General features: G+C 44.5%; 1 protein-coding gene and 1 long non-coding RNA gene across 11 annotated transcripts in view, besides 5 other annotated features; both read right to left on the reverse strand.

Moving 5' to 3' along the window:
- The window catches only part of MFAP3L (microfibril associated protein 3 like), a 40,676-nt gene extending 24,818 nt beyond the window's left edge, over nt 1-15,858 (reverse strand). For 5 of the 10 annotated variants that reach the window (NM_001301647.2, XM_017008871.2, XM_005263366.4 and 2 more), the window contains exon 1: nt 14,815-14,976. Coding sequence is in view for 1 of the 10 variants with exons in the window: in XM_005263366.4 (XP_005263423.1) it covers nt 14,815-14,861 (47 nt within the window). In the remaining 9 variants the exon portion in view is untranslated. Of the gene's footprint in view, nt 1-181; nt 9,178-14,814; nt 14,977-15,440 lie in introns of those variants that run through there. The other 5 variants (XM_047416460.1, XM_017008867.3, XM_017008865.3 and 2 more) reach the window with 4 other exon arrangements.
- Nucleotides 14,784-14,873: a silencer, noted in NCBI's record as "silent region_15796". NCBI's record gives its function as "represses an Ori minimal core promoter by ATAC-STARR-seq in GM12878 lymphoblastoid cells {active_cell/tissue: GM12878}" and the evidence as "EXISTENCE:reporter gene assay evidence [ECO:0000049][PMID:35858748]".
- Nucleotides 14,954-15,353: a silencer, noted in NCBI's record as "silent region_15797". NCBI's record gives its function as "represses an Ori minimal core promoter by ATAC-STARR-seq in GM12878 lymphoblastoid cells {active_cell/tissue: GM12878}" and the evidence as "EXISTENCE:reporter gene assay evidence [ECO:0000049][PMID:35858748]".
- Nucleotides 15,353-16,072: an enhancer, noted in NCBI's record as "H3K27ac-H3K4me1 hESC enhancer chr4:170947923-170948642 (GRCh37/hg19 assembly coordinates)". NCBI's record gives its function as "activates a minimal SCP1, AML or CMV promoter by ChIP-STARR-seq in naive H9 embryonic stem cells {active_cell/tissue: H9 hESC(naive)}" and the evidence as "EXISTENCE:reporter gene assay evidence [ECO:0000049][PMID:30033119]".
- Nucleotides 15,812-15,881: a silencer, noted in NCBI's record as "silent region_15798". NCBI's record gives its function as "represses an Ori minimal core promoter by ATAC-STARR-seq in GM12878 lymphoblastoid cells {active_cell/tissue: GM12878}" and the evidence as "EXISTENCE:reporter gene assay evidence [ECO:0000049][PMID:35858748]".
- Nucleotides 16,062-16,201: an enhancer, noted in NCBI's record as "active region_22146". NCBI's record gives its function as "activates an Ori minimal core promoter by ATAC-STARR-seq in GM12878 lymphoblastoid cells {active_cell/tissue: GM12878}" and the evidence as "EXISTENCE:reporter gene assay evidence [ECO:0000049][PMID:35858748]".
- Nucleotides 20,355-21,584, reverse strand: LOC101928198 (uncharacterized). The gene is made up of 3 exons (NR_125890.2): nt 21,365-21,584; nt 20,643-20,832; nt 20,355-20,479 (listed from the first exon to the last, which is right to left on the reverse strand). It is a non-coding gene; the product is annotated as an uncharacterized LOC101928198 (long non-coding RNA).
- Nucleotides 21,585-23,415: the final 1,831 nt, after the last annotated feature.

Below are 23,415 nucleotides of genomic sequence, written 5' to 3' on the forward strand. Positions count from 1 at the left end.
TGTCCATGTTCTAGAGTCTATTTCTGTACAGAGATTCTTGATGCCTCTAATCACACAAAGGTAATACCTAATTCAGATGGCAAATGTGATAATCACAGGAAAGTATGAAAGGGCATTGCTTTTAGGTTAGTTTTAGAAGCATCTAAAGGGGATCAGTTCAATCCAAATTGATATGCATTACCTGAGAAATGACCTGCGCTGGGTGCACTGCCAGGGGTTGAGGCCTTCCCCCTCTTGTCAGAATCCGGAAGGGGACACAGGACTCTCCCCTCTTGTCAGAATCCGGCAGGGGACACAGGAACATATATCGACAGTTACAGGACAGTGTGACAGCTGCCCATCACAGGGTGTCAAAGATCCACTGGGGCACCAGACAAGAGATGGAAGTATTAATAGTTTGGATGAGCCAGGAAGAATTTTCTGGAAGTGATTCTTTAAAGAAGTACCCAAGTGGACCAGGGGAGAGAAGCTGACCCAAAAGAGGAATAGAATATTGAAAGAAACGATTACAGAGAACCTGGGGAAATGTCTGTAATTAGGCACTGATGGCCAGGTGGTGTGTGCAAGAACAGAGGAGGGGGAAGTAGGTTGGAAAGGCAGGCTGGCCCAGAAAATGACCGGATAGTATGCAACGCCAAGGATGGGGGCACTCACAGGTTTTGAAAAGGAGAAGTGACAGGGCTAGTTCTGTGTTTACAAAGATCAGCTTGATCCTCATATGGCTGCGATGTAGACCTGGCTAGGAGACTAGTATTATACAATATCCAGGAAGGAAATGAACGGGGGCCTGAACCAAAAGCAGTGGGGAAGGAAAGAAGTTGGCAGATGCAAAGAGGTACAGGAATTAGAATGTACAGAATGACTATCTGATAGCAGGTTGAAGTAGTACAAGACCTCCTGACCAGTGGCACCTATGATTATAAAGACAGCTCTTAGGAAGCAAGTGTCTCATTTACTAAAAACCAATGGCTGGCACTGTCAGTAGAATACACAAATTAAGAAATTCAACAAACCACTCCCTTGGGCAGCACTCTGCACTCTGCTGCCACTCTTGGATGAGGGCCTGTCTGCTAGCAGTGACCTGGCAGAGTACACGGTCGCTCCTGCCTGGTTCCTCACTGCTCCTCCTAGCTTCACCATCTTCTCTCTCTGTACCCCTGGCTGATGGAGGGTGTTGTGATGACAAACCACAGTCATGACATTTACATATAAAAACTCACAAATTAAGAGCTATACAGCAGCACACCATGAGAAGAATTAGAGCCTGTCTTTTTAAAGTAGTTGGCCCTTAGGAGGAAAGTGAGACTCAGGAGAGACCTCATGGCATTCTTGGTACAATACGCACTTATTAATTGTGTAGTGTTAGGATAATTTCCAGCTACTTAATGGGTAGAACTAAATATACACCCAGACTTGCTGGATTGCTGTGAACAGCCACCAGATGAGCTGTTTAAGCCCATGGAACAACTGAGAGGGGTACCACATTATTACTCCAACTACACTAATGTTCGGCCTCTACAGAATTTTATTTTATGCTGTTATTTTTTTTTTGATACACAGAAGGCACGTACTTTTTCAAAAACTGATCTGGGTTAAATCACTGTTTTTCAAACTTAAAAACAAACTATAGGCCCAGAGATGCCATCTTCATAAAACTTTATTTTTAATGGGGCATAATATTAAGAAACTATTCTTGAATCTCCACACTTTGTTCACATGGTATGTTTTTCTGATTAAAAGTAAAAATAATACAAAATAAAGCTCTCAGAAATATACTGTTTAAATTGCCCAGGGTCATCAAATCATTATTTTAAAAAATCACTCTAATATGGAGATGAGATACTGTTGATATCCTACTAAACATAAATGTTGGTTAAGCCTGATCATCAGAAGGGAGATACTCAAGGGACCTTTACTACAGTCTTTTAAAGAGAAAAAGAACCACAAACCCTTATAAAGGAGGAGGGAAAAAATTACATTAAAGGTTGTTCTCTATAGATATATAATTATCAAGCAAGATAAAAACAGGTCTACACATCTCTTCTCAGAACTAGAACATTAGACTTGGAAAAACTTGGATGTATTTTCATAAAGGTTTTTCTTTACTCTAAAAAATGGAGGCCTAGAGAAGGTATGGTATTGCATACGGTCATGCAATTAATTTAGTGGCTTAGAAAAAAAATAAAAAGACCATGACTGCTAATAATAACCTCAGATCAGACCTGGGATTGTTTTCTTGGTTCCATAAAGCCAATTATTAAATTGTTCTAGCACTTGAAACATGCAGTGCAGGCTATTCTAATCACAGGTATATCATTTAGAAGAGTTTATTGATGTTTGAGCACATAATGTCAAATTCTTATTCTTATTCATTCATTCATATATTAAGATAGCATCTCACTGTTACCCAGGCTGGAGTGCAGTGGCACCACCATGGCTCATCGTATTAATTGGGTCATTCTTAATTGATCAGAGAGACATTTCTCCAGAAATCTGATGATCCAAGGAATTAGCCAAATCTGGAAACTGAATAGAAATGGGACAGACACACTGATGCAGGGGCCTTTATGCTGCCAGGCCAATCCCTAAAACGGATCACAATGCACATCAGAGGGTTACAATGCTGTATTCACATTTTTCTTTGATCTTTGACACCGTCCTTATTAGAGTCTATATTCAACCTAAGCTGGTACAGAAGCATCTCTAGCTGCTGTCTTTCTTTTCATTAGAATATTGTTCCAACATCTCCCCCCTTTAAAAAATTATGTCCTTTCAAAACATTCTTCCTACTCATTTGGAGTATGCATGTAGAGATTCGAATTTTCATTCTAGTCCAGTGAATTTATGTCACCTGCTAATCTGTAGATGGCACTACTTCTGCCAGCTTTCAATTGTTTTTATTTGATCTCAAGCCCATTTTCCAAGAAGTTCCTGATGTATTTAGTGTGAAGCTCCTACATTCAGAGTGAAACCAGGCAGGAGCTGATGGATGTCTGGAAGCCTGGACACATCAGTGAGTCAGAACTCTTTTTTGGCTAGAAAAATGGCTAGAAGATGCCATGTATCAGGGAGGTGCTTTATGGAGGTGCTGATCCCTGGCTGCCTGCCCACAAGTCCAGGCTGTGCGCGCTCTGCCTGGATGGAGGAAGCAAACCCTGCCCTCTCTGCAGCCCACAGAGCACATTGTCTATAAATCAGAGGGCAATCTTCTTAATATGCTTTCCTAATATGACTCAGGACCTGAAATAATTGTGAGTTTACATTTTCTTGCTAATTCTGGATCGTTTGCAAACCCGCAAGGCCTTGATAATGAAAGAGCCCTTCTCAATTCCTACCTCTCCCTCACATTTGATTGTGCACACACAGCTTCCCAACTGGCCAAACAAAACTCCCTTTTCTGGAACTGGGAGGGTAATTTCACATACAATCTTACAAAGGGTGGTTAATTATTTTGTGGTGGGACAGCTCATAATAAAGCTACTCAACTCACGATGAGCCTGAAGGATAGTATTAATAGTACCCAACTGAGACACAGAATAACTTCTAACAGAAACACATCGAGTGTTCTTAGCAACAGCCAGTGTGAAGAATTCACTGCAGGTCTCCTGCAGCCGTGGAGCTGAGATTTTAATACAGCAAATGGATAGGATCAGGTGCCTGGGATAAGAGATGGGTTGGGCTCTGAGGTTAAGGTCAAGAACAGAAATTCTGGGGTGATGTGTGAAGAGCAGATGAGTTTAGAATTTTAGGATTAAGACCCACAAGCTGGGAGTGAGGATACTTACTCCTTTCCTCCATTTTTTATTTACTAGGAGATGACGCCTGGGAGTCAGTTGATCTCTCCGAGCTTCAGACCCATCTCTTAGGTCCTTTCCAAATCTATCATAGTATGATCATGACAACCAGGAGTAAGACTGGGGTTGGAAAAGGGAAGAAACGGTGAGGGGTAAAGAGAAAAGGGAAAGAACAAGAGAGTTCTTGGTGCACTGCTAAAAATTCCATTGCAGTAAATACAACTGGGGCAAAGCACTGTGATGGCCAAGCCATTTGTGACTTGGCAGATGGCCACAGACACAGCTTGTGCGCCACGCAGCCTGTGAGAACTTGTTCTCCATAGGCAAGACAACTTCTTGTGTGTCCCTTACATTCTGGACAATAAAATGAGGGAGTAAATGGATTCAAGCTCTGAAAGTATTAGGACGCCCCCCATTCATACCCTCTCCAGATGCCCTCATCTCACTGCAGATGTGAATCAGCCCAGATTCCTCCAGGACTTCCTATATGGAAGACGGGCCGGTCCTCTTGGGCACAGCTGCAGGTTTCTCCCTCCAACTTCACCACCAGAGCAGGCTGGAGTGAAGCCTGAGCCTCACTACTTTTACCCTGTTACCTGGACTAAGAGTGGGTGGTGAACTTAGTGCCTGTAGCCATGCCACGGACCCAACCTTTCCTCTTCAGACCAAGAACTGCTGGTTGTGTAAATCCGAGCTGTTCCACAGGGGGTCTGACCAAGGCCCGTGTCTTTGGGCCTTGAAACCTTCATTTCACTTGATAATTCAGAGAGGCCTTGAGTCTACTATGGCAATTTGGGAATGTAATTTTTATCATTAACATAATTGTCCCATTAAAAAAAAGAGTTGGTATTCAAATATTGTTGATTGTGCTTAGCACCATGCATTCATTACTTTTATTATTATTTAATGATTAGTAACAATCTGTGCATGGAGAATGTCTCAAAATATAATGAATATAAAACGCTAAGATTCTTAAATTATTATAATGTACATTTTTCCAGCAGTTCGTCATTCAGTGTAAAAGCCAGAGGCAGCCTTGCTATGGCCTGACAGTAGGCCTCTGACAGATTCACAGCCTCCATATCCAACCTCACTACGCTCGCTCAATCCCCATCAGCCTCCCTGGGCTCTGCTAATCCTGAAATGGGTAAACCCCGGCATCCTTGAACTTACTATTCCCACCATCTGAAATGAGTTCTGGGATACCTGGAACATTTCCTTTGGAACCCTCAGGCCTTCAACCAGCGAGGCCCTTCCTGGTCACCTATGTGAAACCGTGCCCACCCCATCATGCTCTACCTACCTCGACCCTGCCTTTGTCTTTACAGCATTAACTACTACGTGTTTACATACTGCGCTCCCATTAGGATGGGAGCTCCTAGAGGGCTGGGCTCCTGTCGTTGCCGCTGTTTACTGATGTATCCCCACTGTTCAGAAACACACTTTGCTCAAAGCAAACACTTGAATATCTGCGGAGTGAATTTATTCTACTTATATGCCCTCTAAGATAGACCTATTACTAACTTACTGCTCGCCTTTGGTACAAATTCATTTCTTAGACAGTTCTGGAAAATGTCTGTTCTTTAACCACAGAACTAAGTATAACCCAAAATTTCTTTAAGTCAGTCCTCAGAAATGCATCATTTGCTTACAGTGGAATTTGAGAGGCTGGTGATAAAGACAGGCCTGTGAACAGAGGCTCAGGGTAACACAGAAGACGAGGCGGAGATGCCAGAAATGTATGCTCTTGTTATTGTTGAAGTGAAAAGCAATCACCTACTTAATTTATATTTCAAAATGTCGCACAGTCCCTCATTCCTGTGTCTGTGGTTGTTTGATTAAGACCATTCAAATTCACAGCGTAGGAACTAGATCACCTAGGGTTTCCTCTTTCATCAGGATAAAATTTCATCTGTTTGAAAAGATGCACTCAATAACTGGAGAGGGTAGTTAAATAGCATTTCCTCCTTCCTCTTTACCAGCCCATTATCACAAACTGGAATTGCATCGTGAACACTTCCCTGAATCTCCCACATAAAGTGTCATTATAGGCTCTTTCACTAAGAACTGGATCTCGGTGAAAAACAGATCAGAAGAGATCCTGTAATTCAAACCCTACTGGATTTAATTCTTAAGAGTGCTATGATAACTAACTCCCCTTACAATTCACCTAGCATTTATGGTTTACAAAACACCCCCACAGATGTTATCTCATCAGAGCCTCAGCACCACTCTAAGGCTGGGACAGGCCTGTGATTCTGCCCACACAACAGCGTAAGAATCTGGGGCCAAGCCACCAACACTGCAGGAAAAGTCCCTTGCAGAGCTCACATCTTCTCTCAGTCCAGGGCTCCTGTTACCTGCACACGGTGGTCACTGAGTGCCCACCAAAGCTTCAGCAACCCTCATAACATTGTAGCTAATTATTTTAAAATTTTGTTCATAAAAGCAATATTTTTCAGAATTTTATTCCATCTTAATAATCTTCCTGACTTTAGTGGTTAAGATCAGTCTTCCACCTAAGTGTTTTTCAGTGTCACAACACGGCAAATTGTTGCAATTAAACAAAATCACCAGAAGAAAGCTGAAAATAGGGATTCAGTGGTTTCCACTTTGCTTTTCTCTCAGCTTTGATGGAAAGGGGCCCTGTTAGGCTGAGCACACTTTCCAGGTGATCTCTCCCATCTCTCCGCTGGGTAGTCACCTTTATCTAAGTGATAAACACAATTAGGAGCCAGTCATATCAATTAAATAAACTGAAAGTACTTATGAGGCCACTATTATCCACTTAGTACCAATTACTATGGGGATTAAAAACAGTTTAAGACCAGGCCTTTACCCCAAAGGTGCTTAGAATCTTGGTGACACCTGCATACAAAGCAATATGCAATTATGGGCTAAACTAGGTAAATGCCACAGAAATTCAGAGGAGGCCAAGCTGGGAAGGTAACAGAATGTTCCCTGGGGTTGGCCAAGACCTGAAGGATGAATAAAAGGAGACCAGACAGTTCTCCTAGCAGGAGTAATGGTTTAGTCTAGACAAATAAGGGTAGAAAGAAACACGGCACGCAAGTAATAAAAACCTAGGTGGCATTGGTTTTTGCAAGCATCATGCAGTGGATCTGCTGTGCAAGGCTGTCTGGAGAGCTCTGGGACAGCAGGGAACTCCTTCAGAAATTCTATTCCAGATGAGGGCCTCTGGGGCATCTTAGGAGAAATGATAAAGAGGACTTTGGAACATTTGATCCACTACTTAGGCACAAGAACTAACAACCCAGTGAAAGGAGGAGAGGCGGCCATAACTTGGAGGTAGTGATGAGATGCCTTCCAAAGGCAAGAAGACATCAGAAGTCCACTGCACGTCCTGGGTACAGAGGCACAATGAGAAATGACCAGCCTCCATTAAGGCAAAGGATGGTTAATACTCAGATGTTTTCTGGAAATGAATTTCAAGGTCCTCAAAAATGTTTTGAAATGGAGAAAAACAGGTTACCTTTGAGAAGTTCTAACCAGAGCTGGACTCAAAGACCAAGTAATCTAGGATTGTCCAAACCTTGAAGAAAAACAAAACGACAACAACAACAAAAAAACACCTTCCCGCCAACGTAGGGCTGCCAGCAGAAATGGCAGGGAGTCATTAGACAGAACTGCAGGCCTGGCCGGGGGTGGGGCAGTGAAGCCCAGTGCCTAGCTTTAGCGGTAAGCAGCAATTTTCAAGATGAACTTCATAACAGCAGCTGAGAAGCAAGAACGCTCACTGGTTACTCAAGAGTTTATGCTATCCACAGCCATCCTGGGCAGTAAAGACCTAACAGGAGGTGCTGGGAGCCAAACACTAACTTAGTCTTCACTCAAATACCTTTCCTTGCCTAGGACCAGGGAAAACGGGTTTTGAATCTTTAAGCACAGTCGCTGTTTATCTACCTACTTTCTTGCAGGGGCGTCTGGCCTTTGGAGAAGAAAGGAGTTGGATGGTCTCCTCAGGGTGGTCATTACTGCCACAAATATAGAGCCCTTGCTAATTTCAAGAAGGAACAGAAAGGTACAGATACAGCCTGGTGCAATGGCTCATGTCTGTAATCCCAGCACTTTGGGAGGCAGAGTCTGGAGATAGCTTGAGGCCAGGAGTTTGAGACCAGCCTGGGCAACATAGCAAGACTTCATGTCTACAAAAAAATTAATTAGCTGAGCATGGTGGCATGCACCTGTAATCCCAGCTACTCCAGAGGTTGAGGTAGGAGGATCACCTGAGCCCAGGAGTTTGAGGCTACAGTGAGCCATGATCATGCCACTGTACTCCAGCCTGGGCAACAGAGCGAGACCTCATCTATATACACACACATATGAAAGGTAGAGACTCGAGAACAGATGGATCCTATCTTGTTAAGAGGTACTGCTTTCGTAAACCGATGAGAATGATTTGAATTAGTCTCAGCCTGCACCTGAACTGGGTGGGTCCCAGAAGTGGACAATTCTGGAGCACTTTATTCTAACCCATTTATTTCCTCAAGGAGCAAACCCTTCCCTTACGATCTTCCTCACACCATCAGCAAACTCAAATCCTCAGTGGAAGGAAGGGGTTGGGATTATACTTCAGTATCTGTTCAGCAAGTTTTCCTCTTTCCTGTTGACTAGAGTCAATTTCAGCACAGCCTCTAAGTAAGTTACAGTCTCAATCCAGAATTAGGAAAGCCCAACCCACAACAACTTTCTTTCAGTCTCATTAGCAAGTCCCCAATGCTTCAGTCCAAAAGCTGAGGGTCCATCAGGGAGTTAATTTCTTCTTTTATGTATCTCTTACAAAGTCTGTGCCCTGTGATAAGGTTCCGACTTCTTCCCTCGCATGTGGTGCTGTGTGTGGGGCTTTGCAGCTCCTCCCTGGCCTGAAGTCCCTTTTGGTTAAGCACAGGCAGTGGAAGTTAGTCTCTCTGGTGCTGCAAAGTCTTGCCTTTGGTAGGAAGACCCCTGAGAGATGCTCAGACCCCACTATCCTCGAGACAGGTGGGCCTTCCACATTTCTGCTGTACCTGAGACAGAATCTGGTTCACTATAAAGACATTGTTTAAAATGTCCCCTTTCCTTCCCTGCCCTGAGAAACATATCAATCACTGAGTTCTAATGATTCTCACTCCTCAATATTGGGCTGCCACATCCTGGGTTTCCCCTGGGTTATGTGCTCATCATCTCTACTGGACTCCTTCCTTGCCGACCTGCCTCTAGTCTTGCCTGCCTCCAATCCACATACCATGTCATTACTAGAGTCAGCTGACTCTGAAAGATCTAAAACATATTCCATGTCTTCGTTGTGTCAACAGTGTGAAACTCAAGTCCTACGCAGGACCTAGGTGATTCTTCACAGTCTGACTCCCATCCACCTCCCTGACTGCATCTCTGGAGCCTCCCCCTCCCCCCTCCCTCCTCCCATTCCCCTCCCTGACTGCATCTCTGGAGCCTCCTCCTCCCATCTCCCCAACCCCAGCAAGTTCTCTTTCCTCAACTCCCAGTAGTTCCCCACGGCACCACCTCCAGCCACGTTCCCTTCCTTACCTTGCACATCTGGCAAACCCCTAGCTTTGAGGTCTTGGTTCAAAAGCCCTCCAAGACTCCCAAGGTAGCCCCAGACACTCCTTTTCTCACCACCCTTTACTCATAACTTCCTATTTTCGCTATAATTATCTTTTTGCACATTTGACCCTTCATTAGATTAAAATCTCAGGTTGTCACTACCTGTTGAATGAATTAATGAATGGATGGAATATGGGCTTGAGAAAGGCTGGACACTGGTGCATGGGTGACTGATGCAGTCATGAGGAAAAATAAGTCACCCGGAAAGAACACAGAGGGCCACAAGCAAGACAAGAGACCCGGGTTAGAACCCAGGGAAAGCAGAGTACAAGCTCTCGGAGAAAGAGCAATAAAAAAAATATTGGGAATAGCTAAGGGCACAGTATTCCAAAGGCCACAGCAGGTGGGCCCTCTGCACTTCTGTAGAGCCTGACACAGATAATCCAATTAATTACATGGGAGTTGTTTAAAATGCCATCTTTCCTTCCCTGCCCACAGATAGAGTACAACTCTACCACTGAGTCCTGGTGGTTCTCACTCCTAAATATCTGGCTACCACAACCTGGTTTTTCCCTATTAAGATTTAAGAGCGAGGGAATGGTTTACACTGACCTAGTACTTTACAATAGAAAACAATTTTTTTTGCATCATTCTATGAGAACATTTGGGTAAAAATCTTATCAAGTCATACAAATGGATGCTAGCTATACAATATAAAGTTTTGTTTTATTAGGATAAATTTTAGTCAAGTCTTACTGTTGTTTCCAGTGTCAGATACTGCTAACCCAGGCCTTCTTTTACCACATTGTCTGAAAAATTTGTTTTTCTTACATGCAGTTCAGTTTCAATTCAAAGCCACTCTTACAACACTAAGATAGAAGAATCCTTCAGTTTAGGTTTTCTGGACACAGAGATGTCAATTTAACCAAGAGACAACACATTTTTGCAAGGTAGATATTGAGGCCTTGTACATAAGAGAGACTAAATGAATATGTTTGAAAAGAATTACTAGATTTCTAATATTCAAACCCAAAAGTTAGTTTATGTAGTATTATAGCTGTCAACTCCCACATCCCCCAACACCAACGTCAAATATGGAGCCCATCGCAAACATTGGTGATTGATTGTGGCACTTTCCCAGCTGAACCAGTACAAGCCCATGACATTGCAAGCAGCTATTACCAACTGGTCAGAGTTGGCCCATGTGAAATCTCATCATTCTCAAGTTAATTATGTTAAATTTTAGCTTTCACAGCTCCTTGCTCACGTGTGCATGGTACGCAGACAGCAGAACAGCTGATTACTGTTAGAGGACAATGAGCAGAAACAAAGTGAAATGTGACTTGCCTCTTCTGCTTTATGATGTCCTTCTTATTGTGAGTAAAAGTTTTAAGCTATTAATTTCATACATGCATACAAATGCTGCCATTTCAGATGAATCCAGAGACCTGAATTACAGCATGCTGGTTCCAGACCTCTACTGGCCACTGACCACCTCTTGTTGGACTTCCTTTATCAAGCTGCCCTGTGAAACCTGGGGTTTAGTTATCCATTGTGTTTTTAGGAAGTAAATCTGGCATCGGTCTGTTCCATTTCATGTTCTGGTTTCCCATATTTTCTCTATAATAGGACAGAATCCAAACTCCTTCACATGACACTGAGCTCATCACAGTAAAAGGACCACTTTGTTCCCCTCCTCCTGCCCTTGCCTATTAGTCCATTGCACCAAACCTTTCAGTGGATATGGCTGTATTTGCTTTCCATGGTTCCTGTAACAGATTTCCACAGACTGAGGGATTTAACATAAATTTATTTTGCAGTTCTGGGGCACGGAAGTTCAAACAGGTCTTAACGAGCCATCATTCAGGTGGGCCCAATGTAATCACAAAGGTTCTTTCACGTGAAAGAGGGAAGCAGAAGTCAGCGTCAGAGTGATGCCCCAAGAGAAAGATTGGACTGGCCGCTCTGAGCTTTGAAGACGGATGGGGCTACAAAACAAGGAATGGGGGTGGCCTCTAGAAGGTGGCAAAGGCAAAGAAACAGATTCTCCCCTAGGGCTTCCCAAAGGAACAAGGCCCTGCAGAGTCTCTGACTTTTGCCCACTAAGACCCACGTTGAACTCCCACACCACAGAAGTGCATTGGGCCCACCTGTATAATCCTGAATAACCTCCCCATGGCAAGACCCTTAACTCAATCACATCTGCCAAGTTCCAAAGTGGACACCTTTGGTGGGGGGCATTATTCTGCCTATCCCAATGATGTTCCTTCTTCCTGGAGTGTCTACTCTGCTTAGAAGACTTCTAATTCTTTGGGCATTCCTTAATGAAATATCATGACTTTTCCCATGGAAATGTCACTCCAAGCATGAGGTCCTCTCCTCCTCCAATCTACGGGGTTCATTTCCCCGCCTCCTCAGTCCCATGTGCATCCCTCTCTGGAGCACTCATCCTGTACTGTGTTTTATTTGTCCTCAAGCATATCTCCCTGACTCGACTGTGACTTACTCTTACTCATTTTTGTGGCCTCAGGAGTCTAACTATAAAAGTTTGTGGAAAAAAAAAATGTGATATTTTAATGAGTAAAGACCTCAGGTGGAAGCAGAGGCAAGACCAATACATTCACAGGACTTCTGTTTGGAGCATAACTTATAAACTACTTCTGATAGCTCTTAAGTGGTTACACCATGACATAATCAACCAAACCCTTTGTAACCATCTTTCAACCATGCCAGGGAGGTATTATACCAAACTTAAAATTAACCACTGGCATTTTAAGGCCATTTCTAACCGCAATGTGATATGCCATAGATTGAAAACATTGTCAAAGTTTTAAGTGTCCTCCTGGCCTTGGCTAGGAAAGACAAGTCACACCCTAAGTGCTGGGTTAGATGCCAACTTAGGGGAGTGATAGTATCTGCATGATTTCTAAATTCCAAAAACTAACACTTGTTTAACAAATCTGGCTAGGCTGTGTTGAGGTTAAAAGCAACTTGGCTACAATATTTATTTGTATTCCAGTATCTAAAAGTTCTTGCATTAAAAAGTAGAATAAAAAGTCCAAATTAAGCACAATTTAAAATGCCTCGAGTATTTAAATTGCAAGCCAAATAGGAATTGGATAAATTAAGGTCACAGGGATTGGGGGATAGATCTATTTTTAAAGGGAGTAATTTGCTGTAAATGTCTAATGTCACCAACAACATCATACAGTCTAGAAATCTAAACACATGGAAATAAACCTAAAAATCACGTGCCTAGCAAGTGAGCTGCAAGAACCCAATAGTTAACTACAAAAGAGAAGAAATGATCACCTTTTTTTGTAACATGCCTACAAAGTCTATTTTTTTCTTCATGAGCAGTAATAAAACCCCTTTTCAACCTAACTCCTGTTGTTTTTTTGAGTTTTAGGTTAGGGAAATGTGGACTTTTTGAAGCCAAGGGCAGTATGTAAGTAAGTCTTTGATTAAATTTCATCGTGTCTCTTAACACTGAGAAAATACTTAGGATTTGTACTTAGGATTTGTGGATCGAGAAGGGGGCCTATTGATCTGTATTAAACCTCACATTCACAAAAAGTAAACTGAGGCCTTGCTGCTTCCTCCAGGTCAGGAAGAACCCAAGGCTAAGGGGAGACTCTAGCTACTTCTACTGGGGAATGTCACCTGAGGATATGAGACCTGCTGTTCAGGATAAGGTGTACATGCAGGCAGTACTTCATGAAAGATTTTAAACTTGATGCATTTTTATAGAAAAGAGAAGCACAATTATTCAATATTTGTGTTGGAGTTTTCAAACTTATTTTTCTATAAATGTATTTAGAAATAAATTTAGGATGAGTGAACATCACCAACCAGACTATTTGGCTAAAATGGGGGACTGCAGGTTCTAATTCATAAAAATGGTAATCATGTTGTTGCTACTGCTGTTGTCTGGATGTTTCAAGCCTTTCCTATTATTAAACCTCGGTTATGCAGCATCACAGGACAGAGCCAACTCTATACTGGGGGAAATCACCCCAGAGAGTATCCAGAATTAGAGCTGGAGCCATCTCAGGCTTGCAAGCAAGCACCAACCTTAAAGCCTACCCACAACTCAATGAAAAGTCAATGCATTTCTAAAGTCTATTAAGGTCTATAAAGAATGTAAACAATTGTTTTGTAATAAGCTTAATGAATAAAACAACTGAACCCACTAAGTGGTACTTATAGAAAAGAGGCTTGAGAATTTAGCTTTAGTTAGCAGAACTAGTTCCCACTAGAACAGGATTGTTTATCTTGCCCCTATTAGATACAATAATCCTAATAGTGTTAATGGTACTAAATGTTTTAGGAATAAACAACTGTAGAAACCACACTGGGACCTACAAATTGCACTTTCTGTGTAAGTAAAATGTCAGAAGAACTACACTGTTATAACTTACGGTCTCATGAAACGACATTTTTTTCCATCTTGTATTTCATCTTGAAGGATTTTACTATGTTCAGCATAGTAGCAACTGAAAAAAATGTGTTTCATCTAGAAACAAAAGTGAGAAAACTACAAAAAACACTGAGCTTCTGCAATGCTCGGTTTCCAAGTTTTTAACATTAAATCGAAGATAACGCAAAATAAAGATTGCCACAGTAACCAAACTTTTCTGCTAAGTATCCTTAAAAATAATGACAGTTCGATCGTATCTTAACTGTTTTCTACAATGTGAGCAGATAATACACCTACAAACCTTTTTTTGCTACCTTGCTTTATAAAGCTTGCAAGTTTTTTTTTCAGGGCTGGAGAAGACAGCTTAATGATCAAGCTTAAAATAAATCGGTTCTGCAATCACTCTGTATTTTAATCCGATGAAGCACGTTTCCCCATTCCACGCCATGAAGCAATTCGATGTCAACTTGTTATGGAGTCAAATGCGACAAACTCCGAGAGCTTCAGTAGCGAGGCGGCGGCTCGCAGCACCCACAGCCGCCCGCACTCCTGCGGCATCAGGACACGGCGCCCTCCCGACGCGGAACCCGCATTCACGTTCTCCGGAGCCCTGGCCAGCGCACGCTCCTCCCTGTCCGGGTAAACTGAGGCACAGCGATGAGAGAGATCCAGAGCCCAGCGAAAGCCCCCACGGCTGTTCGGCGTCCCCTTCCCCCACGACACCTAGGAGGCTCGCCGGCAGCTGGCAGTGGATTCCGCGCTCCTCGCCCTCGGAAGGTTACGGTTCGAGCCCAGGATGCGGCAGTCCCCAAACGGCCAGCCCCCGCCCCGCACGGATCTCGAAGCATCCTGCGACCCCCTGGAGCCCGCTGCCCGGACCCTGCGGCGTCTCGCAGCGCAGCCTCCGCCGCAGTCTCAGCCAGCCCAAACACCCGAAAGTTCGGCGGCCCCGGCGCCGACTCGGCCGCCGACCCGGTGCGGGGCTGGCTCCCACCCGTGCCCCTCCGCCCCGGCCCGCCGGGGGCCCCCGCTAACCTGACACCGCCGCGCCACTCAGGTGGCCGCCGTGCACCCCTCGCCATGGCCAGCCCGACAGCGGCCGCTGCGCCGCACTCTGCGCCGGACGCCCGGTAGCGCCTACTGCGGGCGAGCCGCCTCCGCCGGCGCCTCACAGCGTTGCGAGCTGCGCCGCCGGCTGCCGGGAGCGCGGAGCTTCCCACCTACAGGAGCCTGGGCCGGCCGGGGCCGAGCATGCCCAGTGCGGCTCGCCGGGCGGCGCGGAGGCGCGGGTGTAGCCGCCGGGTTTTCGCGGCAGCCGCGGGCGGGGGCAGCGGGGCGGGCGGTGCGGCGCGAGCCAGTCGGTGCTGCGGAGCGGCCCCGCGGAGGAGCCACCGGAGGCTGTAGTTGCCGGGGAGTCCCGCATTCAGTCCGCTCAGCCTCTGGGCCGGGCCTCGGCGGCCCCCAGAGCCCCACACCCGCAGGCCCAGGGCCTCCGCGGCAGCGCGGGACTCTCACTCCGCTCTCTCTCCCGCCCGGGGCTTCCACCGCAACTTCTGTGGGCGTCGCATCGCACGCGTGTTCAAGGACACCCAGGAAAAGGCTTCTTAGGGTCCCATCCTGGGGCGCTAAATGGGAACCAGTCAACCCACCCCCAAGCCTACCCTGTCTCCTTGCAATCAAATGCAATCACGAGCAAACCACCTTGCTTCCGAAAGCTTCTCAGGCCTTCCCGGGCGACTGCGCTGTAAGTCTTAAACGTCTCTTAAAGCAAAGTCCACAGATGGAAGAGTCTGGAAAAAAACCCAGCGGGCCGTTCCCTGGTGACTTTCTGAGTGGTGGGGTTCCAGGAATTTTTTTTTCATTTTCTTTAAAAATATTATTTGTAATTTCCACGTTTTTTCTAATGAACCATAAGTTGATTTTTTAATTAAAAAGTAGAGTACTCTAAAATTATTAAGTACCTACAGAAGTTTCGCTACACGATCCTGCAATGTTAGTGGCTTCTTCTCCTCCTTATCTCCCTTTTTTTTTTTTTTTTTTTAATTTTAAAAGAGAACAGAGACTCTCAATTTCTGGGGCGGGACCAGGCTCCTTCCCCCGGCTTTTTAGTGCCCGCCCTCTTGGCCACACCCCACTCCGGCCTTTTTACTCCCGTACCGCCCTCTTCCCGGTGGGTTGCTGCGAAAACCCGGAAAGGTGGACTTTCCACATTGACGCTCCCGGCGGCTCCGGCAGCCAGACTGGGCATGTTCCGCCGCCGGGTCAGGCATTGCTGTGCCAAGAGAGGAGCTTTAGCAACTCTCAGTCTCTCTGCTCCTCTCTGTTCCTGGCAAACTGGCAAAGTAGTGCCTCTGACCCCACGCCCCGAGGTCGGACCTGCAGAAGTGGGTCAGGACCCGACTGAGCATGCTCCGGGCAGTGCCAGGCTGCCGCACGCGGCTGCATCTGGTTGCCCAAGGTTGATGTAGCCGCGGTCTCTCGTCACGACATCGAAGCTCGGGAAACGGATGGAAGCAGGGCTCTAGAGAGGCACGATTGCATCGACACGTGGGCAGGTCGCCCATGCCAAGGGCCATGTTGGTGGGTGGGTGCGTGGGATCTGTCGTATGAGTGAGTCAAAGCCTGATTTTTTCCCCCAAAAAGATTGAAATGAGATATCATATTTTAACATTAGTTTTATGGCATCTTGAATAGCAACACATTTTAGCTCAAGGAATTTTTCAGCTGTCCTTTTGAGAAACGTAAATTTTCTTTGTTTTTAAGTATTTAATAAGCATTCTTTACAATTGCACCACAGCGCGAACTTTCCACCTGCTTTATTAATTATGACATTTGTGTCCCCACTATTAAAATATTCCGCAGTATTATATCCCGTTTTCTTCTCCAGCATTTCTGCATTCACTCTGACTCTATTTCCTCCCCTCCCCCATCTCTTTTAAATTCTCAGACAACCTGCAAAATGCACTCTTGCTATCTTAGAAACCACTTGAGGTCGGTGTGGGGAACTTGCTTTTAATTCTCATTTAGAGAAGACAGTACTGAAATGGAGAAAAGTCACAGGGAAAGTACTTTTACAGATTGTAGATTAGTAAAGAACCCAAAGAGAGCCTTTCATTGAGAGCAGAAAGGCGAATGGAATTCGCTGTTTTCTGTCTAAGGAGGAGGAGGATGGGCAGGCAGGTCAGCTGCCCAGTGGGGCTTGGTGTGATAGTGGGAGTCACCCTTCATTTGAACCTCTCTGCCTTGCCCAGCTCCAGTTCAGCTTCAGCGTGGTCAGAGACACTATCTCTATGGAAGGTCACTCCTGGAAGAATACATTTACTTAGCTGCTTCCACCATGGAATCCTAGCTTGTGCTGGAGTGTCCCCTTCATCCTCCTCCTGTGCTTTGAGAATCCATTGTTGCTGGTATGCCCTGAGCAGTGCCCTTGAACTTGCCCAGGTACCCCTTGACATCCACACCACAAATAGTCTAGCCTTACAAAGGTGGACAAGATGTCTTTTCAACAGTCTGTACTGCCACTTCCATCCATCTGAAGCTTTCTGTTCCTGAGTCTGTCATGACATTAATCTTTCAAAAATCTTTCACAGAGATTTTTAGTCTCTACTAAAAATACAAAACAATTAGCCAGGCATAGTGGTGTGTGCCTGTAGTCCCAGCTACTTGGGAGGCTGAGGCAAGAGAAGCGCTTGAATCTGGGAGGCAGACGTTGTAGTGAGCAGAGATTGCGCCACTGCACTTCAGCCTGAGCAACAGAGTCAGACTCCATCTCAAAAATAATAAATATATATATATACACACACACACACACAAATAGTATGGATAAAGGGAAGACGCTGACCTATCAGAACAACTGCCTGATCAACCAGAAAGGATTCCAGAAATGAACACCTCGCATGGCCATGTGAGAACATACCAGCTAACACCCCTTTGACAGCGGCAATCATCAGAGAGGATGACAGCTCTCAGGAAGAAGAGACCACAGAACACCTACAATGGGGCGGTGCAAAGGATGAGAATCTGGAGGAGGAGGATGAGAAGAAACAGGATGACCTGCAATTGCTCTTCTGCTTGTATTTACTAGCTTGGTTAGCGGGTACCCGTATCTTCTCAGTCACTTACATGATGAATCTGGGCGTTACCCTAGATTCATTCATCTGCCTTTCCCGTGTCATCCAGCTGGTCTCCTGGCATTATCTATCCTGTCCTTATTCATTTCTGAACACCTCCCTTCCTTGCCTCATTGCCTGTCTTACTCCAGTCCCCATCATCTTCCTGATCAACCACAGAGCAACAGACTCCTAGATGGATCCTCTCTCTGTGTCCCCTCCAATCCATCCTCCATAGCTCCTCAGACTTTTCTTTTTAAGCCAATTGTATTACAATATGTCTGCTAAAGATCCTTAAGTGAATTCATAATGCCTTCAGGATAAGGTCCAAACTTTAAGCATGAACTGGCTGCTGCCTTCCTTTCCAGATTAGTCTCCAGCCTGTGTCCCCTAATATCCCATATCCTCACCAGTCCAAATTACCTGCCGTGTGAATTCACACCTCCATATATCTGTTAGTTCTTTTGTCTCTCTTTCTCCTTTCTTCACCTGACAAACTGTTGAGCCTTGGAGATCCAGTTCAGGCAGGATGTCCTCTGATCTTCCCAAGGTGAATGCCTCTTGAGTACTTCACCTGTTTTCATTTGACACCTAACCTTGATTGATTTTTCTTTCATCTCCTCCGCTACACTGTAGGCAACCTGATCGCAAGGGCTGTGTCTCAGCCATCTTTGTGTCTTCGTTCTTAGTCTTCAATAGAATTTTACTTAATAAATAAATACTTAACATATGGACTGATATAATGTTTAAAGTTTATTAATTTAAAAAAAATGTTGCTGAGAATTATAAACAGATTGCAAAGAAAAAATGCCAGAACAGTCACATCATATGCAACCTGCTGAATGGTTATGCTCCTAACAATAAGTTAGGAGACTAAGATAATTGAGCTCTCAGATTTGACCTCCTTAAGCCCAATGAATTTTCTTCAGCTTCAGAAATCAGGAAGTATTTTGTGAACCAGTCTGATGTCCTTGTTTTATTGGTCTGTAACTGCATGAAGCCCAGCACTGTATTACTAATTAACCCACAAATTCCATTGTTCTTTATCACTGTATTTATTTCTTTCCACAACGTGGTAATAACCTTCTAATTATGTGGTTACTCCTTAGAATAGATTTAGTTTATTTTTTTCTGTTGAAAGCATGGCACCCCAGGAGGGCAGACTAGCCTTTTTGGAATTAGCATAATTTTTTACAGTTCTATCAGCTCATAATGTCTGCTGGGGGCACCTGGTACTAACTATGGGCGAACTGATCACCAGCTTCAGGATCACCTGGTGGATGAAGTTTCCATTCCAGACCTCTGGATAGAGTAGTCCAAGAGGCAGTGATTTTTAACAAGTCCTCCTGGTGACTCTGCACACTCTATGTGAGAAACAGTTCTAAGTCACATGGATAAAAGGAAAAATAATAACTCTTGGTCAAAAACTTCAAGTAGCCCCTGTATTGGGTTTTCTTTGGCAGAGAGATCTATGTGGGTGGGAGAGGTATCTGCCCATTAATAAAAGTGTTGTTAATATCTGTGCTTCTTACATAGCCTTGGCTTATATTAGAGGGTCTGGAGAACATAGGAGAGTAACCCAGTAAAGTAGCTGCTTGTTTTTGCACTTGTTGAACAACATAGAGATTTTGCTTTGTAATCGATGCAGGCCCAATGGTACTCTCCAGTTTCTCCTTTCTATATTCTAACCCCTCCAACAGAGAGTGAGTGGAGCATTGGAGGTTTTGACCTCACACTCTTCCTGGAAGAGGACAATAAGAGGTGTATGATGCTACCTACATTAGGCTATCCCTTATTCCTGGGAGTTTGAAACAGCACAATTAGAAGGAGGGTTAGGGGAAGAATGAAAGAAACCCAGTACTTCTCTCTAGTCTTGTGATTTGCTGGTTGAGGAGAGCAAGGCCTCTTGAAAAGGCTGAGTCAATACAGTATTAGGAAAATATTCCCCTTCCTCATTCTGGGTTTGGACTCAGCATTGACATCGGTCCCTTGGAGGGGTGTGCATGTGTGTGGGTTAAGTGGTTATCCAGCTGGAAGAATCAGGAGATCAAATGGCATGGCTGCAACTCACAGCGGCAGAAGACCCAGCGTGAAGGGTCGCATCCTTCCTAGACCTCCCTCTGAGACCACACCAAAGCCCTTCCCTCCTGGAGAGTTTGCAGCTTGCCAGCTTGGGACACTAATGACCATCACAGCTGAGCCTCCCACCCCACCAGGGTTTCATTTTAGTCAGTAACTCAGATGTAGGGCCATGGATTATTGGCAGGAGAAAGGATGCATCTGGAACTTTGCCTCCTGTGTGTAGGGGTGGCATTTCTTGAAAGGTGGGTGGATATTTGCAGAGGAAGGTTAGAAAAGGAATGTCTTGGTGAGAGAAGTATGAAACAGAGCCCTGGAGACTCCAAGTATGGGGATGGCTGAGCTCTAGAGGGGACCCCTTTGTAAAGAATTTGACTTCACAGTTACTTTACTTTTGGATTCTGGAAAAGTCGTGACTTGTATTTAGCTTGGAGTTTGTTCTTCTTGTTCATAATTTCCTCAGGAAGGAAGGAAAGCCAGATATCCACTTTCCCACTATACAATGGAGGATGCTGGAGTTGGGTGACCCAGGGAAACAAATAAGCAAGGAAACAAACATCAGCAGTCAACATATGGGAAAACAAACACGCAAAGAAGCCAACATATTCTCCAAGAATGTGGCCCACCAGGTGAATCCTTTGTCCCCAGGCTTGACAGGGAGGCTGCGCCACTCACCTCCAAATGCTGCTTAGAAGAGGAGGGCTCTCAAGCTCAGGGGAGGCTCTGGCAGCATCATTGTGATCTCAGTAGGAATAACTGTGACTTTGCTATTGCATGATGAGAAATCCAAATGAAGCTCATGAAGTCGACTGTAATTTTCTAGGCTGGTGACTTTCATGGCTCTCCTTTTTTGAGTAGTTGTTTACTAGAATTAAGAGAGAAGAAACAGAATTCTGTATTTTATCTTTTTATTTATTTATTTATTTATTTTTTTGAGACAGGGTCTCGCTCTGTTGCCCATGCTGGAGTGCAGTGGTGCAACCATGGCTCACTGCAGCCTCAAACTCCTGGACTCAGGCAATCCTCCCACCTGAACAACCTGAGTAGCTGGAACTACAGGTGCACACTGTCATGCCCGGCTAATTTTCCAATTTTTTGTAGAGATGGGTGTCTTGCTATGTTCCCCAGGCTGGTCTCCATCTCCTGCCTCAAGTGATCCTCCCACCTTGGCCTCCCAAAGTACTCCTGGGATTAGAGGCATGGGCTACAACATCCAGCCTTGTCTTTTTATCTTTTGGATAGTCATGACACCAAAAATCCTGGTGTGGGCACCGTGGCTCCTTTGAGGGCAGAGGCTGAGGAGAAGCCCCAAGATATGGCCAAGGCCAGGAGGGATGAGGCTGAGGTGGATGGTAGAGGTGTACAAAGGCCTTTGTAGTGGTGTCTGGGGGACTTACAGAGACAAGAATGGGGAGAATGAGATGCTGGCTTGACAGTAGGTGGAGCAAGCTGGCTTTCATTTGGTAAGATTTGAAGGACCCTGGAAGGCTAAGCAGGCTTGCTTTATATGGGTATCTCGCTTCTCTTCTTGGGACCTCCCCACTGCTAAGTGAGGCTTTGCTAGAGCATGGAGCCAGCTACCCAAAGCCTGGGTCCCACCGTGAGAGGCCTCACAGTGGGGAGCCCAAAGGCCCAGGCCATGTGCAAGTAGATTGTCACAATGGGAAAGTGTGTTTGACACTAAAGTCTACTTTAGATGATGTCACAATTTTGACTTGATTCAACCCCAGAAATGAAGTTCCTAACAAATTGGACCTTTTTTATTCCCCATGATAAGAGGCCAAATGCTGTCACCTTCAGTATGATGCTGGCTCTGTCTTCCCCAAATAATAAATATTATTTCTATCCTTCATTCCAGGAATGATTGGCTGGTTTGTTTTGTTCTCGATCATGGATAAATATGCTCCTCAATAGCTTTTCTTTATTTATGTATTATGTGGAACATATGTCATAACTGCAGTTATCCAGCTGAGGAAGTAGGTTTCTTTATTTGGACCTAATTTCTTAAGAAATTATGTTTCTTTTATGATATTCAGGCATTTATAAGCTCTGCAGCTTTTCTTTAGAAGTCTTTTTGGTCTAATCTAGTAAAGTTTCTGGCACACAAGAGATGCCAATACATTTTGTTGAATTATCTGCTGGAAGTTGCAGGAAGAACCTCATGCTGGAGAATCCTGGAGGAAGGCATTTTAAAATACAGGCAACCATCAGTCCAGTTGGTTGGTCTGAAATATCATTCAGACTTTGGCCTTAAGTCTATTTGGTATTGATTCTGCTTTTCTCTCTGGTGACATGTTTCAGATCTGTTACCAACATGTTTCTCCCTGACTTCAGTCAGCCAGCAAAAAGACAAAATTGATTAATCCATGATGAATGTATGGCCAAATGTATGGATGACCTTGAAGCAGCGGCTGTTTTTTCAGCATCATGGTTTATGGGCTGTCTCATCATAGGTGGGCATTTCTTCTGCTAATTCCAAAGAGTCTTCCTTGCTGCTAAATCCAATGAACCCTCCTTGCTGCTAGTTCCAATGAGCCTTCCTCGCTGCTAGTTCCAATGAGACTTCCTTGCTGCTTTAATAGGAATTTTAAAAGCATGTTGAAATGAACCATCCCTAACATTTGAAGAATGTTGTCATTGTGTTTGTGAATGAACTGGGACAGTTTCCTAAAATGAATAGAAATTACAACTTGCTGCTCAGAAGTATGGAGCGTAGGGTAAGAAGGGCAGCTAAGAATTGCAAATAAGCATATTGATGTGGGTTAGCAGTGACGGGGAGAGAGAGAAAGTGGAGTATAAAAGGACCCTGCAGATCTCTGTCAATGTGATTGATTTCAGTGATGTATACTGCTGTGTGTGTATGTGCTTTTGGCCTGTAGTACTAATTACTGAAAATGGACTAAGATTAAAAAGGGAATTGCCAGATGCCTTTAGGAAACTTGGGCTGTTACATGAATATTATATTTAATTATATTAAAAGTCAACTATAGCTTATTGCCCATAAGAGACAAGGTAGGTAATGAGTTTACTCTGAGCACAACTGTTGGTTATCACTTAGCCATTAACCAGCCTGTGATTCGCCTAGCGCCAGCTCCCTGTTCTGAGGGCACCAGAAAAGCGGGAGAACCAAAGACAGCTCTAAAAAGGTCAGTATTACAAAAGAGTACCAAAATTGTCATCACAGGACAATCATGTTCCTCCACCCTGCCTTACACTCATTTTACAGCTTGGACTTGTTTGTGCATTGACTGCCTACTTGTTTTGGTACTTGGAAGCTTCAGGTTCTAAATGTCTTAATCTGGTTTTCTGTCTCTACCTCTTGTTTTTGCTCACATTTACTCTCTGCTACTTATTTTTCTTGAGAGCATTATTTGCCCTCTTTCATAATGTTATGGGAAGACTTATGGGAAAATGAGGAACCAAAACCATTTCTAGAAGCATCCAAAAG

This window comes from Homo sapiens, chromosome 4 (genome assembly GCF_000001405.40).
Source record: "Homo sapiens chromosome 4, GRCh38.p14 Primary Assembly".
NCBI classification, from domain to species: Eukaryota; Metazoa; Chordata; class Mammalia; order Primates; family Hominidae; genus Homo; species Homo sapiens.